Source organism: Homo sapiens, chromosome 18, assembly GCF_000001405.40.
Source record: "Homo sapiens chromosome 18, GRCh38.p14 Primary Assembly".
NCBI lineage: Eukaryota > Metazoa > Chordata > Mammalia > Primates > Hominidae > Homo > Homo sapiens.
In genome coordinates, this window is record NC_000018.10 from 67,623,660 (window position 1) to 67,638,911 (window position 15,252).

The following is a 15,252-nucleotide window of genomic DNA, read 5'->3' on the forward strand; positions in this document are numbered from 1 at the left end:
TACAATCTTTGCCAAATTAAAATTTAATAGGTTCTTTTTATAATTATATCAGTTGATGTCCCCTGGTGTATTAGTTTGTTAGCCTGACTGGGTGCAGTGTTCTAAACAACAGAAATTTATTTTCTCACCATTCTGGAGGCTGGCAGTTGGAGATAAAGGCACCGGCTGGGCTGGTTTCCTTGGACGCCTCTGCTTAGCCTGAAGACGCTGCCCTCTTGGTGTCCTCACAAGACACCAAGACATGTTCACACCCGCTATCTCTCAATGTGTTCTAGAATCTTCTTCTTATAAGGATGGCAATCTGATTGGATGAGAGTATATCCTTACAGCCTCATTTTAAGTTATTTACCTCTGTAAAAGCCCTATCTCCAAATACAGTGACATTCTGAGGTAGTGGGTTTTAGTGTTTCAACATATGAATTTGGGGGGGAGGCACAATTCAATCCATAGCATGAGCTAAATAAACCGAAAGGCTTTAGTACTCAAATTTCTTGAACTCAATCTTCCCAGAATAAAACTTTAGAGAATAGTAGTCTCTATACACAAAAATAAATAAATGAACAAATAAATATATAAATATAATCACACTTTTGAAAATATAATTGTAACTAGATTAACTTGATTTTAAGTTTACGTTGGATTGGATTAAGAAAAAGTAGACCTTGTATTAATCCCCTAAGTTGCCCCAGAAATTTTATTTTTGGGTAGAATTTATAGAGTAGTAGCTTAGCTTAATACAGGTACTCTACCAGTGACTAACATCATTTCTTCAACCTTGAGGGTTTTGAGTTTCTTCATCTGCAAATCAGGAGAATTAATATGAAGATCTCTAATAACCACTTTGTTATTATTGCACTGTGATTATTTAAAAACGACTTTACCTAAAACTCAATGTCACAATAAAATACATTTTTAAGTAACAGATTTAAATAATTTTATTATGAGGTCATAGGGAATTCCTTTGTAACTCGCTAACACACATGTACATAGGAAACATAAATTTCAGAGGTTCTACTTATGTCAACTTTTGGAAAAAAAGCTCATTTCAGACTAAGCCATCTTGTTTGAACTAACCAATTTCAAATGAAAAGGACATAGATTCGAAGTTTAAATTTCTGAGTATCTGGTAGTATTAGATTAAAACTCTGATAAAAGGATATTTATAGTTGTCATGTTTTTTGACTTTTAATAAACTATACATGTTCAAATAATATAAAATAACCTTAATGAATAAGTATAAACACATTTGTGGAAATGTATTTACCATTTGCCATTGAAATGAAATAAAATAAATCCATCACAACACTGGAAATCTGGGAATTGTGCTATTAATTAAAAAGGAAGAGTAAGGTGCCCTGTAAAATATATATCTAGTGGGATCAGACTGCTGGCAAAACTCTAAGAACTATGGATTTTCTGATACTCACTGAGTATAAGAGAGAAATTTTGAAAACAGGAAGTTTTCCTAGAAAATCTTGGGACTCATCCCATGAATGGAGTCAGGTGCTTAGCTACACCATTAAAGGGCTATGAGAATCTCTGTATACCTCTTTGCAGAAAAAAATGACACTGCATTTTTAATTCTAGGTTAAAGCACTATAAGTACAACTATCTAAAGTAGAGTTTATTCCCAGGAAATTCCCAGGTGAGTCCTTGAAGCAGTTTCCTCCTATCCTCACTCTTGCCATGGGCCATGATACTGGCAGCTGGAAGACAAGTTATCTGCATATCCTAAAGAAAATCCTACTGAGCCTAATGTTTCCAATCCCTTGTTTCACTCTCCCTTTCCTGGAAAAATATCAATTCACTGCCAGGATAAAGAGATTTTTACCTTTACTAAGGCAGGAGAGTCTGTCTATCAATACTGATCATATTGATAGTTGATCAATTGGGATGCCCAATCATAAATGTAAACAGAAAGCCCGGCCTTTTAGAAATCCAACAATGCTCTAAATTCAACAATAATGACAAAACAAAATAAGTAACAACAGCTAACCTCAGAGATCATATAGAGAATATGGAAAATTATTATAAAAGAGCATAAATCTCAAGCATAAAATTATTATAAAAGAGAAACAAGTGGATTTTTTTGCAAATCAGAATATAGCATTCAAATATGTAAAATATATCTGGGCTGAATAATAGTTGAAAATTCAAGGCAATCAGAGATTCTGAAGATAGCACAGAAGGATGATTTCAGGAAAGATATAAGACAAATAAATAAATAAGAAAAAGTGTATGTATATAAAATTAAGAGTCAAGAAGTTTAAAGTTAGTAGTTCCATAATTACTAATAGTTTATGATCAAATATTTAAAGAAGAAATTGCTAAGCTGAAAAAAAGTTTTCAGGTTGAAAATATTAACAGAATGCTAAACATGGATAAGAGAAGGATCAAAACAAAACAAACAAAGCACATTTTGGACAAAAATCAAGAAAATAAAAAAAAGTTCTCATTTTTTTCTGAAAGCATAAAAGTAAAAATAAAGGCAAACAAAAATGATTAGCTAAGGGAAGCAAATTAGACTGGGATCAGACTTTTAAAATGCAACATCATTTTCTAGAACAAAATAAAATAATAAAAAATTTAAGATAGAGTTATTTCAAATCAAAAGCTGAATATTATTAAAATGAAGTGAAAGGTTTTTTTGTTGCTTAAACATTGACCATTAATGAATTATTGACAAAGTAGAAAGGTTAACCCCCAAATGTATAATATTTATTTTCTAAAAAGTATTTTTTATATTTTTCTTGCCTTGGGTCAACAATAATGTTTAAAAATACAGAAAACTATGTGGTAAAAGAAAGTGTGATGAACACAAAAGGAAAACTGTTTAAATGAGAGTTTTCGATTGAGAGGAAAAGTGACAAAAACTTTAGTTACTAATTCCAATGTAACTCCTCCAAATAATAAAAACATCAAATCTTTCATTGTAAAAATGGTATTATTGACAAAGAAGAGTTATTTTAAGAAAGAAAAAAATGCCAAGAAACAAAAGCTTCCTAAATACTGAACCTTTTACAGACTTTAAGAAATAGGCCACAGCTATTATTAATCTAGGGGAGGAAGTCCCTGATTTGATAAAATCAGTGATAAAAGAAATCTAAAAGAAACCTAAACACGCTAGCAACTTCTCTGTAAGTGTGAAGTTATAAACTTAATAATGTTTTTTAAAGAGAACTAAGCAGAAACTAGCCTACTATTGAAATATTGAAGATAGTTGCAATTCTTTTAATGATGAATATCTTAGACAAGTCCATCAGTCTCCGTGGTTATCAATAACACTTTTGAAACTTCATTATGTGCCAAATGTTGAAAATGGTTGCATTTCTTTTATTGCTGAATATCCTAGACAAGCCTATCAGCCTCAGTGGTTATTAATAACACTTATTAAAACTTTATGGCCCGGCGCAGTGGCTCACGCCTGTAATCCCAACATTTTGGGAGGCCGAGGCTTGTGGATCACCTGAGGTCAGGAGTTCAAGACAAGCCTGGCCAACATGGTGAAACCCATCTCTACTAAAAATACAAAAATTAGCTGGGCATGGTGGTGGGTACCTGTAATCCCAGCTACTTGGGAGGCTGAGGCAGAAGAATCACTTGAACTGGGAGGTGGAGGTTGCAGTGAGCTGAGATTGCGTCACTGCACTCCAGCCTGAGAGAAAATACTGAGACTCAGTCTCAAAAAACAAAACAAAACAAACTTTATTATGTGTCAGACTGTATGCAGGGTTCATATAGAGGATTTTATTTTATCCTGTGGTAGTAGCTATTGTACTCTTTCATTAATGGGAATATTGAAGCTTATAAAAATTAAATAATTAGGCCAAATCACAAAACTAGATGAGAAAACTCGGTTGAACCCAGATAGTTAACCACAGAAAGTTATAAATTAAAATTTTTTTTTAAAATACCAAGTAAAAATCACAAGTTGTGGAAAAACACATACAGTTATGCTGTTTTGTTAAATACATAGAAGTATATAAAGCATACGTATATTTATATATGTACATATGTATGTGTATGTATATGTGTATCTCATGGTCTTTCCTGTTTGCAGAGACAACTAATTAACATGAGCAAGCCCATCTGGGATCAGCAGAGTTAGCAGAAATAACCTTCAAAGCCTGAGAAATATTTATTATTTTACCCCACTGTATTTGGTAGTGGTTAATTATGCAGCAATAGCTACCTGATACAGAACATTTGCACTTAGTGATTGGAGGCCAGGAATTCTAAACAATGGAGAATTGTCCCATCCATGTGCCTATAATATTTATTGAAAAATACTGAATGACTCCTACCTATGACGAAGTGGTAAGAAAGAAAGTGTCCCCGATGGCTAATTGTTCACACTTGAATTCTAGAATTCAAGATACGTAATTTTCAGTTAGCACATGGTGATCTTTACTTAGGAATTGGCAACTGAGATTTTTCAAACCAAAGGGCAATTAAGTAACTCTTATTCCAAAGCTCAGGCCAATCTTTCTCTCTCTCTCTCTTTTTTTTTTTTTTGAAATGGAGTCTTGCTCTGTCACCCAGGCTATAGTGCAGTGATGCGATCTTGGCTCACTGCAACTTTCAATGCCAGAGTTCAAGTAATTCTCCTGCCTCAGCCTCCTAAGTAGCTGGGATTACAGGCATGTGCCACCACACCCAGCTAATTTTTTTTGTTTTTTTCGTTTTTTTTTTTTTTTTTTGGAGGTGGAGTCTCTCTCTGTCACCCAGGCTGGAATGCAGTGACGCAATCTCGGCTCACTACAAGCTTCGCCTCCCGGGTTCATGCCATTCTCCTGCTTCAGCCTCAGGAGCAGCTGGGACTACAGGCGCCCGCCACCACGCCCGGCTAATTTTTTTGTATATTTTTTAGTAGAGACGGGTTTCACCGTGTTAACCAGGATGGTCTCGATCTCCTGACCTCGTGATCCGCCCGCCTCGGCCTCCCAAAGCGCTGAGATTACAGACGTGCGCCACCGCGCCCGGCCTAATTTTTGTATTTTTAGTAGAGATGGGGTTTCACCATGGTGGCCAGGCTTGTCTTGAGGCCCTGACCTCAAGTGATCCACCCGCCTCAACTCCCAAAGTGTTGGGATTACAGACGTGAGACACTGCACTCGGCCTGTCAGGCCAATCTCTAAAGAGGAAAAAAAAAATAAACATGCTTCTCTGTTCTCCCCAGTTTTTACGTCACTAGCTAGTAGTAATTCAAGCTCAAGAAAACTCATTGGTTTAGAGTTGTGCAACTGTAATGCAATAAAGAGATAGCCATGGGCTTGAAAAGGGCAAAGTGTCTGGTAGCTAAGGGCTCATATTGGGTATTCTGCAGCTGTCCGGAAACGTAACGACTGAGAGTAGATTGTAGATTTCCCACCAGAGCTTCAGTGGCAGAACCAGATTCAGAATTGCAGAACTGACAACACCCCTCCCATCACCCTCTGGCTTATTGTGGGTCTTTGGGCTGAATATTTTAAAGCCTTTTAAAGAGAGAGTTAATTAAGACCTCATAAGTATTTATAAGAAGAAGATAATAAAAGGAATATAAGTTTCCCATAGTTGAAAAAGAGACAAGCAATATGCTGGTTATTATTACTACAATTTAAGGGTCCAAGCCTTGCAGATTGCTTTTACTCCACTGAGAACCTCGTTTCTCAGCTCTACAGGTTCAGAAATTTTATGTTGGACAGATTGATTTGGTTTCCTCAAATGCACTGTTATTAAATTCACAGAAAACAGAAACGCTAGAGAAGTAAATGGATTAAAGTACAATGAAGACATAACAAGGTCAAAACGAATTAATCCCATCAATGGTCCATGCATTTTTTTGTCCAGTAGAGAAATATATGTGGGAAACCAGAGTAATACAAATATAGGTTACTTGATTAATATGAAATACAGTGAATACTGTAAATGCTTGTTAGTTCCAGTCAGTGTTTTAATGCCCAACTTGTATACATCTAATCAATCCTCATAACAACACCATGAGCCAGGGTCTATTATTATTTTTAAAAATGAGAAAGTCAGGTTAAATACCTTGTCCAAAATCACAGTGCTAAGAAATGGCAAAGCTAGGGTAACTCGTAAGTCAGATTCCTGAATCTGCACTTCTAACTATTCTTGAATAAGACTTAGTTGATATGGAGAATTATTTAATTAGGTTAGACCAGCTCGTGGAACTACTTTGTTTTTACTAGGTTCTTATCTCCACAGTGGTGATGCGTGATGTGACAGAAACCGCTGGTTGTCTACTCACTACCAACTCTCTCTGTCTTATTAAAATAAATCTAGTTTTCTTTGGAATAGCACTGTACTCATCTGAAACACTGCATTCCCAGCATCCTTTGCAGAACAGTAGCCTGGCAACACACTTTGACCAATGAGAATTAAATCTATATGCTGGGCCTTTTTCAGAAAGTTTTGCTTTCCTCACGTAGCTTCCTTTTCTTGTTATTCTTTTTCTCCTACCTGAAATAGAGAAGTAAAATGGTAGTTGGAAAAGCTATTTTAAGAAAATGAGAATACTTCAACTTGGCTGTCTTGAATAGCACTACAATGAAGATAGGAGGGCAGACATCTCCTGGACACAGACTTCAAGTCTTTGGGTAAATAGCCAGAAACGGGATTGCTGGATCATATGGTAGTTCTATTTTTAGTTTTTGAGAAACCTTCACAGTTTTCCATAATGGCTGTACTGATTTACATTCAATACAAGGGCCCCCTTCGCTCCATATTTTCACTAACTATTATCTTTTTTTCTTTTTGATAATAGCCACTCATAGGTGTGAGGTGGTATTTCATTGTGCTTTTAATTTGCATTTTCCTACTGACTAGGGATGTTGAACAGTGTTTTCATGTATCTGTTGGTAATTTGTATGTCTTCTTTGGGGAAATGTCTATTCAGGTTTCTTGCTCATTTTTTAGTCAAATTATTTATTTTCTTTTTAGCGGGTTGTTTGAGAACAGATGAATGGAGAAAATGTGGTATATATACACACAATGAAATAGTAGTCAGACTTAAAGAAAAAATGTATAAATTGCAACATGTTTGGTATTGGAGAACATTATTCTAAATGAAATAAGCCAGGCAAATACTGCATGTTTTCACTTATATATATGGAATCTAAAACAATCAAACTCAAAGAAGCAGAATGATGGTTATCAGAGTCTGAGTGAGTAGGGAAATTGGGGAGATGATTGTCAAAAGGTACAAAGCCTCAGTTAGACAGAAGGACTAAGGTATTTTTTATTTGAGATGCATTGCACAGCATGACGAATATAGTAAATAATAATGAATTGTACATTTCTAAATCACTAAGTTTCAAATGTTCTCCCCACGGAAATGATAACTTTCACTTGCATCCATGTGAAGAGAACACCAAACAGGCTTTGTGTGAGCAACGAGGCTATTTATTTCACCTGGGTGCAGGTGGGCTGGGTCTGAAAAGAGAGTCAGTGAAGGGAGATAGGGGTGGGGCCGTTTTATAAGATTTGGGTAGGTGAAGGAAAATTACAGTCAAAGGGGGGTTGTTCTCTGGTGGGCAGGAGTGGGGGTCACAAGGTGCTCAGTGGGGGAGCTTTTTGAGCCAGCATGAGCCAGGAAAAGGAATTTCACAAGGTAATGTCATCAGTTAAGGCAAGGACCGGCCATTTTCACTTCTTTTGTGGTAGAATGTCATCAGTTAAGGCAGGAACAGGCCATTTAAATTTCACTTCTTTTGCGATTCTTCAGTTACTTCAGGCCATCTGGACGTATACATGCAGGTCACAGCGGATATGATGGCTTAGCTTGGGCTCAGAGGCCTGACAATAACTATTTGAAGTAATGAGTATGATAATTAGCTTTACTTAATTATTGCACATTGTGTTATAAACTATAACATCACTTTGTACCCCATAAATATATACAACTATAATTTGTCAATTTATAATTAAAAATAAAAATAAAGAAAATGAGGATAAAAACCATACCATAACAATGACATCGATGGAGAACAGGGTGACCTGGGAGATTAATGATAGGATAGAGGTGTTATAAAGGCCTCTGCTGCTTTTGTTTTTGACTACCTGTTATGTAAAAATTAAGTAACTTCCAATTTAGTTATTACTTTATAGGCAGATAATGTTGGGTCCCTCATCTGACTGTGGAGAGTTAGAACTCTGCTTGCTTTTATTACTGTTGCAGCTTACGAATCTAAAACTCTACCAGAACGATAGTAATTGCTCAAAAATATTTTGAGCATTTCAATGCATAAATGAGTTTGAATAGACATTGTCACGAAAAGAACCCAGTTCCACCACTATTGTGGTCACTAAAAACAACCACTGACAGAGAAGGGGCACAGTTCTGCAAATCACTGGATCCATTGCCAAGGTCAGCTGTGGTTACCATTGGGAGCCATGGGTATTGAGAGAACAATAGGGAAGGCCTGTTAGCAGTAAGAGGTAGCAAAAAACGGGGCTGTTGATTTTTAGTGGGAGGATCTTTTAGTGTTAAGCTGGATAGTATTTTTGTCTGGGATTTTTTTGGCGAGTTCTACTATTTCATAAGCAGTCACCTTTGTCATTTAGAGGGAGGAACAGATATTTAATCCTTCAATATATTTCATACTTACATAAGGTAAGAAAAACTACACTTTATTTTGCAACTAATATGCCCCAAGCACTTTTCTTATGTCCTCTTTTATAATCCTCATAAGGCAGATTATGTACTTTTCAGTTTATTGATTAGGAATTTGAGGCTCCAAGTTAAGGTCATGTGGCTAGTAAGAGGAGTATCTTGATGTGAAACCCACACTGTGGAATTTAATACCCACATCCTCAAACAGTTTACCGGCATCCTCACAGCTCTCGTGAGGTAATCTGTTAAGGCCAGAGGGCCATACACATTGGACATGGACTCAGGACAACCAAAAGGCCTACTTGTGCGAAGCTTGTTCCAGTTCTGTTTGTTTGAAATAGTGGGAAGAGACTCATGCACAGATGGCTGCATTTGCTTACCCCGACATACTACTCTATACATGAAGTACTGTCAGATTGCCAGGAATAATATATTATACCCAACAAACGGTAGTCTTTCGTGGTATAGAGACTAATTGAAAATGGTTGTGATTTTTCATCAGGGGAACTCTAGAATAATTCTCTCATATTTAATGTTTTCCATGTTTTAATTTGATTGCCAGTACTTATTTATTCTTCAAGTTAGTTTTGTAGTTTTTCCCTCTGCATTTTGTCTTGAACTTTGTATTTAAATTGAATGCTTTCTCATGATATGTCCAGGTAGTCAGTTCTCCATCCTTTTCTGACTGCATTTAGGACATTTCAACACATCTGAAGATTTAGACTCACACGAGACTCTAGGCCAATCCTGACCTTAGAAAAATAGGAAATAATGAACAGCTTATTACGGGGACATCATGGTCAGGTTTCCATGACTAATAACCATTCAAATTATTGTGACCCAAATTCCACACCTGGGAGACTCTCATATTCTCAAGACCCATTCTAATGTATATTCTAGTTTTAATAACTGGGCTATTGCCTAGTTTTGTTTTTGTCTTCGGTTAATTATTGTGTCTACGTCCCTACATATGTGTATTAGTAGCCTATTCTGTGATAATGTGGATCTTGTCTTTCTTTCTATCTTCAGTCTATTAGATGGGTGCCCAGGGCCCTCTTATCTGCTGACAGACTACCTAGTCACAGGCATTAGCTAGCTAGCTTGTCTCTCTAATTCTACTTTCTCTGAGGTTCTCCATTGCTTTGACCTGTCTACCTGTCAAGTTGATCCTTTCCTTGTATTGAACTCTTCAAGATAATTAAGCACCAAACCACAAATGTGCCTGCAATAATAAAGGTTAGAATATAAAAGCGTAGCAGGGTTCAATAATAACAACAGTGTCTCGAAGTACTGCTCTAATAGGAATCTCTGTTTTGGTTTATTTCATACTCCCTCTTTCTAGATCACAAAAAGACAACAGCATAAAGTAAATTGAAAACTCTATTAGAGAAACACAGCACCTGGGGGAAAAACATGGCTTTAAAAGAACAGAGAAAAGGCCATTGAAGTCCGTCTTGCTGACCCCTTTTAGATTATCAGTGTTGCACTTTATTTGAGGACTGTCTTGAGGATACGAAGGAAACATTCACTTTGCATGAGGGACTCTGGGAATTTAGGGGTGCAAAATCAATCATAAAACCAAACGGTATTACCAAATGAAAGCATAAACATAAAATGAGATATAATCCAACAGGGAACCCCAAGAAAGAATCTTAGAAATAATTGAAGCTAAGCCCGAGGGAAACAAAACATAATGCCTACAGAAGAACGGGTTACGTTGTCACAAATAAAATCTGATCAAAATAGAAAACAGAACAAATCGCTAAAAAGGGTAAAATGTGTTGGTGTTGGCAAAAAGCAGGTTAAAGACATCTTAACTCAGGGAAGAAAACAGACTTAGTTCAGCTTTCATGAAAAGACCTTTGCTGACGCAGCACTAAAGTAAATGAATGGAGGAGCACAGCAAAAGAAGAAAAGGGAAGGTACGTGTTACTGGACAATAAAAGGTTGGAAATGGTCTGTATAACATCCCTTTTGTTCTTTTTAATTATATGCATTCATCTTCTAATTTTGTTAGTACAAATTTATTGCTGGCTTAGTGGAAACCTAAGTTTCCTTAGAGATTAAATTGATATACTATGAAAAACATATTTTTGTGAATAATGTACATCTCCTTTTATAATCATGAAAAAATCCATGACAACATGAAGAAAATTGTCCAATTTCTGTGTATTTCACAACAGGCTACATTTGCAAGTCATATTTATACTGCCTCATTCTTAGAAAAATGGCATTTCTCCTCAACAAACATTATCTAGCAGAAACGTTCTTAGTACTTTAAGAGGTGTAGGAAAAGGCACAGTCAGGTTAAGTGGCAATAAGAAAACAATTCTGGGTATTTCAGGAAATGAAATCTCAATTTCTTGGCTTCTGGCCAGGTTTCTCAAGGGTAATGCTTTCTAGAAAAAAATTAAATCTAATTTGAAAAGGTATCAAAACAGAAAATATCTTTGGGCTGAGAACTGGGACGCTACTCTGGTCTCAGCATTGATTAGGGATGCGACCTTGGGCAAGTTACTGGCCTCTTCTCTCTGAGATTCCTAATTTGCAAAACAAGTGGGGCCACGTCTGAACACTCCAGGGGTTGAGAAGTGTTCCCTGCCTTCTATTCCCATGGAAACTGTCAATTTCATGCTAGCTTACTATTAATATCTTTCTTGATAGTCTTGTTCCTTGCAAAATTATTTTCCCTGTACATTTTATACCAATTGAATTTCTCCCCATCTTAAATAGTGCCACCTTCAATTCTTCTAGTACTGTTTTTATTGCATCATTTCTCTATAAAGAAAAGCATTTAATAACTTATTTCCTGAGTGTTGAAATGCAAAGGACATCAACCTTGCATTTCAAAGACTCTTCCCACCTGTTCGTACATTTCACCATTCCTACATATGAACACTCTTAAGTGTCAGCTATTGCTTTTTATTCTCTGCCTCTCAAATATGCAATGCAGTTATTAAAATTCTGCATAAGGCATCTGCAATTCCAACCTCCCATCAAATTTTCTTTTTTTTATTTGCCTATCCAAATCTTCTCTATCCTTCAATACCTAGTTGAAAACTATCATAAGTGTCAACCTCTCATCACACTGATGTTTTTCTGAGCACCTAGAGTAATTGCCATATATTTCATTCAAGGGCTTAATCATGTTTTTCCTTGTGGCATATTATTATTTTATTGTTATTCAAATTATTTTCCATTAAATGAAATCTTTGCTTCTCAAAACCTTTAGGAAATAATTCTGTAAGCTAAGCTTTCTAGCTAACTGAAGATTTACTTTTTTTTAGTATTAAACTTTTTCTTATTTTATCCATTGCAAACAGATATATTACCAAAATAGATAGTATATTTCTGCTACTTTTGAAATAAACAAATGATAACTTAATAGTTCTCTTGGTTGCTTAGTATAATCACTACTGATAAAAGTTTTTCTACTGTTAAATTACAGGGTGGCTCTAATAGTGTTAGATTTTTGTTGATAGGTTACCTAAAACTACAGTGCTCACTGAAAAATATTTGTCTGATTTGTAATTTTATATGTTGCTTCCATTATAGATATTTATTTGTAGTTAGCTTTTGTATAGCAATCTCTCTTACTACCAGTAGTTTTCTATGATAATCAGATAACCATAGTTATTATACATACTTACACATATGTGCGTAACATATGTGTAAGTAAGTTCAGAATTACAAATGAGGTACAAAGTTCTTCAGATTTAGATCTTCACATTTGGGGCATATGACTTGCCTCCCTTGAAAGATTTCTATAGATACTTACAGCCAAATTTCAAATAGGTTTGTATTAATATTTGTACCCTGTTTTCACTTACGTTTTACCTTTCTGACTTTATCATAAGTGTACATTCCTATAGTTTTTAACTCTGAAAAAATTAGTACAATGTGTTATACTTTTAAGAGAAACTCAAATAGGTCTTTAATTCAAGAATCCTATCACTTGCATGAAGATCCTTACCTGCTTAATCATTGATTTTTTCAAATAGATTGCATGTGAAAAATATTTCTTAGATTCATTTAAAGGGAGAAAGAAATATAGTGGAAGTATGAACAGTTTTTAGTGCTGTTCTTCGTGTTTACTTTTGTATTGCTTTCCGGCTTTTTTTTTTTTGGAGTAAAAATGTTTACAAAGCACATGCTTTCAGATCTCCAATACTTTCCAATTCTGTATTTAAGAGAGGTATTTCTCCAACTACAAATTTACCCTAGTTAGTTGTCAGGTTTGACTTCAGTGCAGTCAAATCGGGCTATGATTTGTATACAATTTCACAACCACTAGCTATTCACCTCAAACCTCTATATCAGATTCCTGTTTCCAGAAATCCTCTCACATTTTTCATCTCTGAAATGGGAGGATTTCCCTTATTCTCCTTACAGGTCGTGCAACGGGCGTGTGGCTCCCTTCTTCTGAGCCACACTGCTCAAACATTTAGAGGGAGCTGGCAGATGGGCAGGTGGTGGAAAGCGTGGGCTCCTACGCCATGGAGCGTCGAGGGTTGAGTGTTTACAGCTCCTGAAGCCCTGGTGGGCGTGTATTACAGTGTACTCTTTCAGCTTGGCCATCCGCAGTCGTCTTGTGTTAATCAGCTCAATTAGACCCTCTGCCCTGTTGCAAGGACAGTGGGCTTTCTGTATCCCAGGTTCTTGCCCTAGTGTACCGGAAACATCGGATTGCACACGTGGGCTTGGAGGACGGGTGCAAGGTTTGATTGAGTGATAGAAGTTGCTCTCAGCCAGGTGGTTGGGGAGCCCAAAGAGGAATGGAGTGGGAAGGTGATCTTCCTCTGGAGTTGGGCCCCCCAGCTGCAGGCCTGTCCTCTGACCGTCCCTGCGAAATTCCACGTCATCTATATCATCCTGCTGTCGATGGTCAGCCAGCCTCTGTCGGGGTGCTCTTCTCCTCCTCTGCCCCCGTCGACGTCCAGCCGCTTGTGTGTCTGTGCCCGCTAGCGTCTCTCGGGTTTATATGGGCACAAGATGGGGGGCGTGGCGAGCGAGAGTGGTCTTGGAAAATGCAACATGTGGCCGTGAAAATAGAAGTGCCTGTCCTCACTTAGGTCCGTGGGCACAGGCTCGAGGGTGGAGCCCTCACCAGGGACTCTGCAGTTCTCTACCCAGCTCTTCCCTGCCCCTCTCCCGTATCGATTCTATGGTGTGCTATCATTATGAAGATATTTTAGATGTTATTTGGAAGAGAATTAAACATCTTAACATATGAATTTCTTAGCCATTTTAACTCCTTAGCCATTGAGAGGAATCTTGTCTTTGTCATCTCATTACCTGGGGCTTGGCTGTATATGGAGAGAAATGAGACATATCCGGGAACTTTGGATTGAATCACTTTTGAAGAGACAGAGACCTACTGAGGTGATGAATGAATAGATGTGGAAGGTGATGTGGAAGTAAAGTCAATATCAATGCAAGTAGGATTTGGGAGAAAATTTAGAGTAAATGAAGAAAGGCACTATAGAAAAAGAGAGAGATGAAAGAAATAGAACTGCATATTTGCTGTGTTTTAAGAACATAATCCCCATTTACCTGCCAATTATATTTGCTAGAAATTTGAAGTTAGTTTGAGTTTAAAAATTATTCAGAAATATGTCATACAAGTCAATGTATCTTTTTTTATTTTTTTGAGATGGAGTCTGGCTCTGTCGCCCAGGCTGGAGCGCAGTGGTGCGATCTAGGCTCGTTGCAACCTCCACCTCCCGGGTTCAAGCGATTCTTCTGCCTCAGCCTCTGAGTAGCTGGGACTACAGGCACGTGCCACCACGCCCGGCTAATTTTTTGTATTTTTAGTAGAGATGGGGTTTCACCTGGTTAGCTAGGATGGTCTCGAACTCCTGACCTCATGATCTGCCCGCCTCGGCTTCCCAAAGTGCTGGGACTGTAGATGTGAACCACTGCGCCCAACCAAACCAATGTATCTTTACAGAGGAAAGACAATGACGACCACTACTACTACTACTACTACTACTACTACTACTACTACTACTACCAATAATAATAATTCATAATAAAACATGTGTCCATCACCTAAGTAAAGTATGTAACTTTTCAGCATTGCTATGATTGGGATGGGAGGAAGTTTCTTATGTTATTGAAAACAGCCAGAAGAAAAGAATGGATCACAATGAAATAGCAGGAAAAATATAATAGAAGTAAATAATTTGATAAGTGAAGAATATTGTATATGGAAATAGACAGCAATATTCATTATAAAACAAAAGTTGGAGACAACTTAGATGTCTAGAAATAGGAAATTGGTTATTTAAATACTACAAGATTAATACAGTATAATAAACATAAAAATAAAAGCTCTATTAAAGACACAGCCTCAATAAAAGTAATATGGAGTATATAAAAGAACTCATTTTTATAAAAATGTATTTACTTTATATGTATATATTTGTACAAAAAAGCCTTGGAGGAAATATAGGTTACTTCATTAGTTTCTTATAAAAGTTATTTTTAGCTGATAACATAATTTTTAGTAATTATAAATTTCTTTCTTACCTGTTAGCATTTTTCCAAAGGTCATGAATTATTACTGTAAAAAATACAATTATCACATGCATTATGGATATTTACAAATGCGTAAGTCACTCTCCAATAAAACCATA

The 15,252-nt window shown here is 36.5% G+C and overlaps 2 long non-coding RNA genes across 2 annotated transcripts in view, besides 1 other annotated feature; one reads left to right on the forward strand and one right to left on the reverse strand.

Moving 5' to 3' along the window:
* The window catches only part of LOC105372174 (uncharacterized), a 36,647-nt gene extending 36,414 nt beyond the window's left edge, over window positions 1-233 (reverse strand). The window contains exon 1 of the long non-coding RNA XR_935590.3: window positions 129-233. This is a non-coding gene — a long non-coding RNA (uncharacterized LOC105372174). The remainder of the gene's footprint in view (window positions 1-128) is intronic.
* Window positions 1-15,252, forward strand: part of DSEL-AS1 (DSEL antisense RNA 1) — a 383,074-nt gene that overhangs the window by 107,114 nt on the left and 260,708 nt on the right. The window lies entirely within an intron of this gene.
* Window positions 12,661-13,360: an enhancer, noted in NCBI's record as "H3K4me1 hESC enhancer chr18:65303557-65304256 (GRCh37/hg19 assembly coordinates)". NCBI's record gives its function as "activates a minimal SCP1, AML or CMV promoter by ChIP-STARR-seq in naive H9 embryonic stem cells {active_cell/tissue: H9 hESC(naive)}" and the evidence as "EXISTENCE:reporter gene assay evidence [ECO:0000049][PMID:30033119]".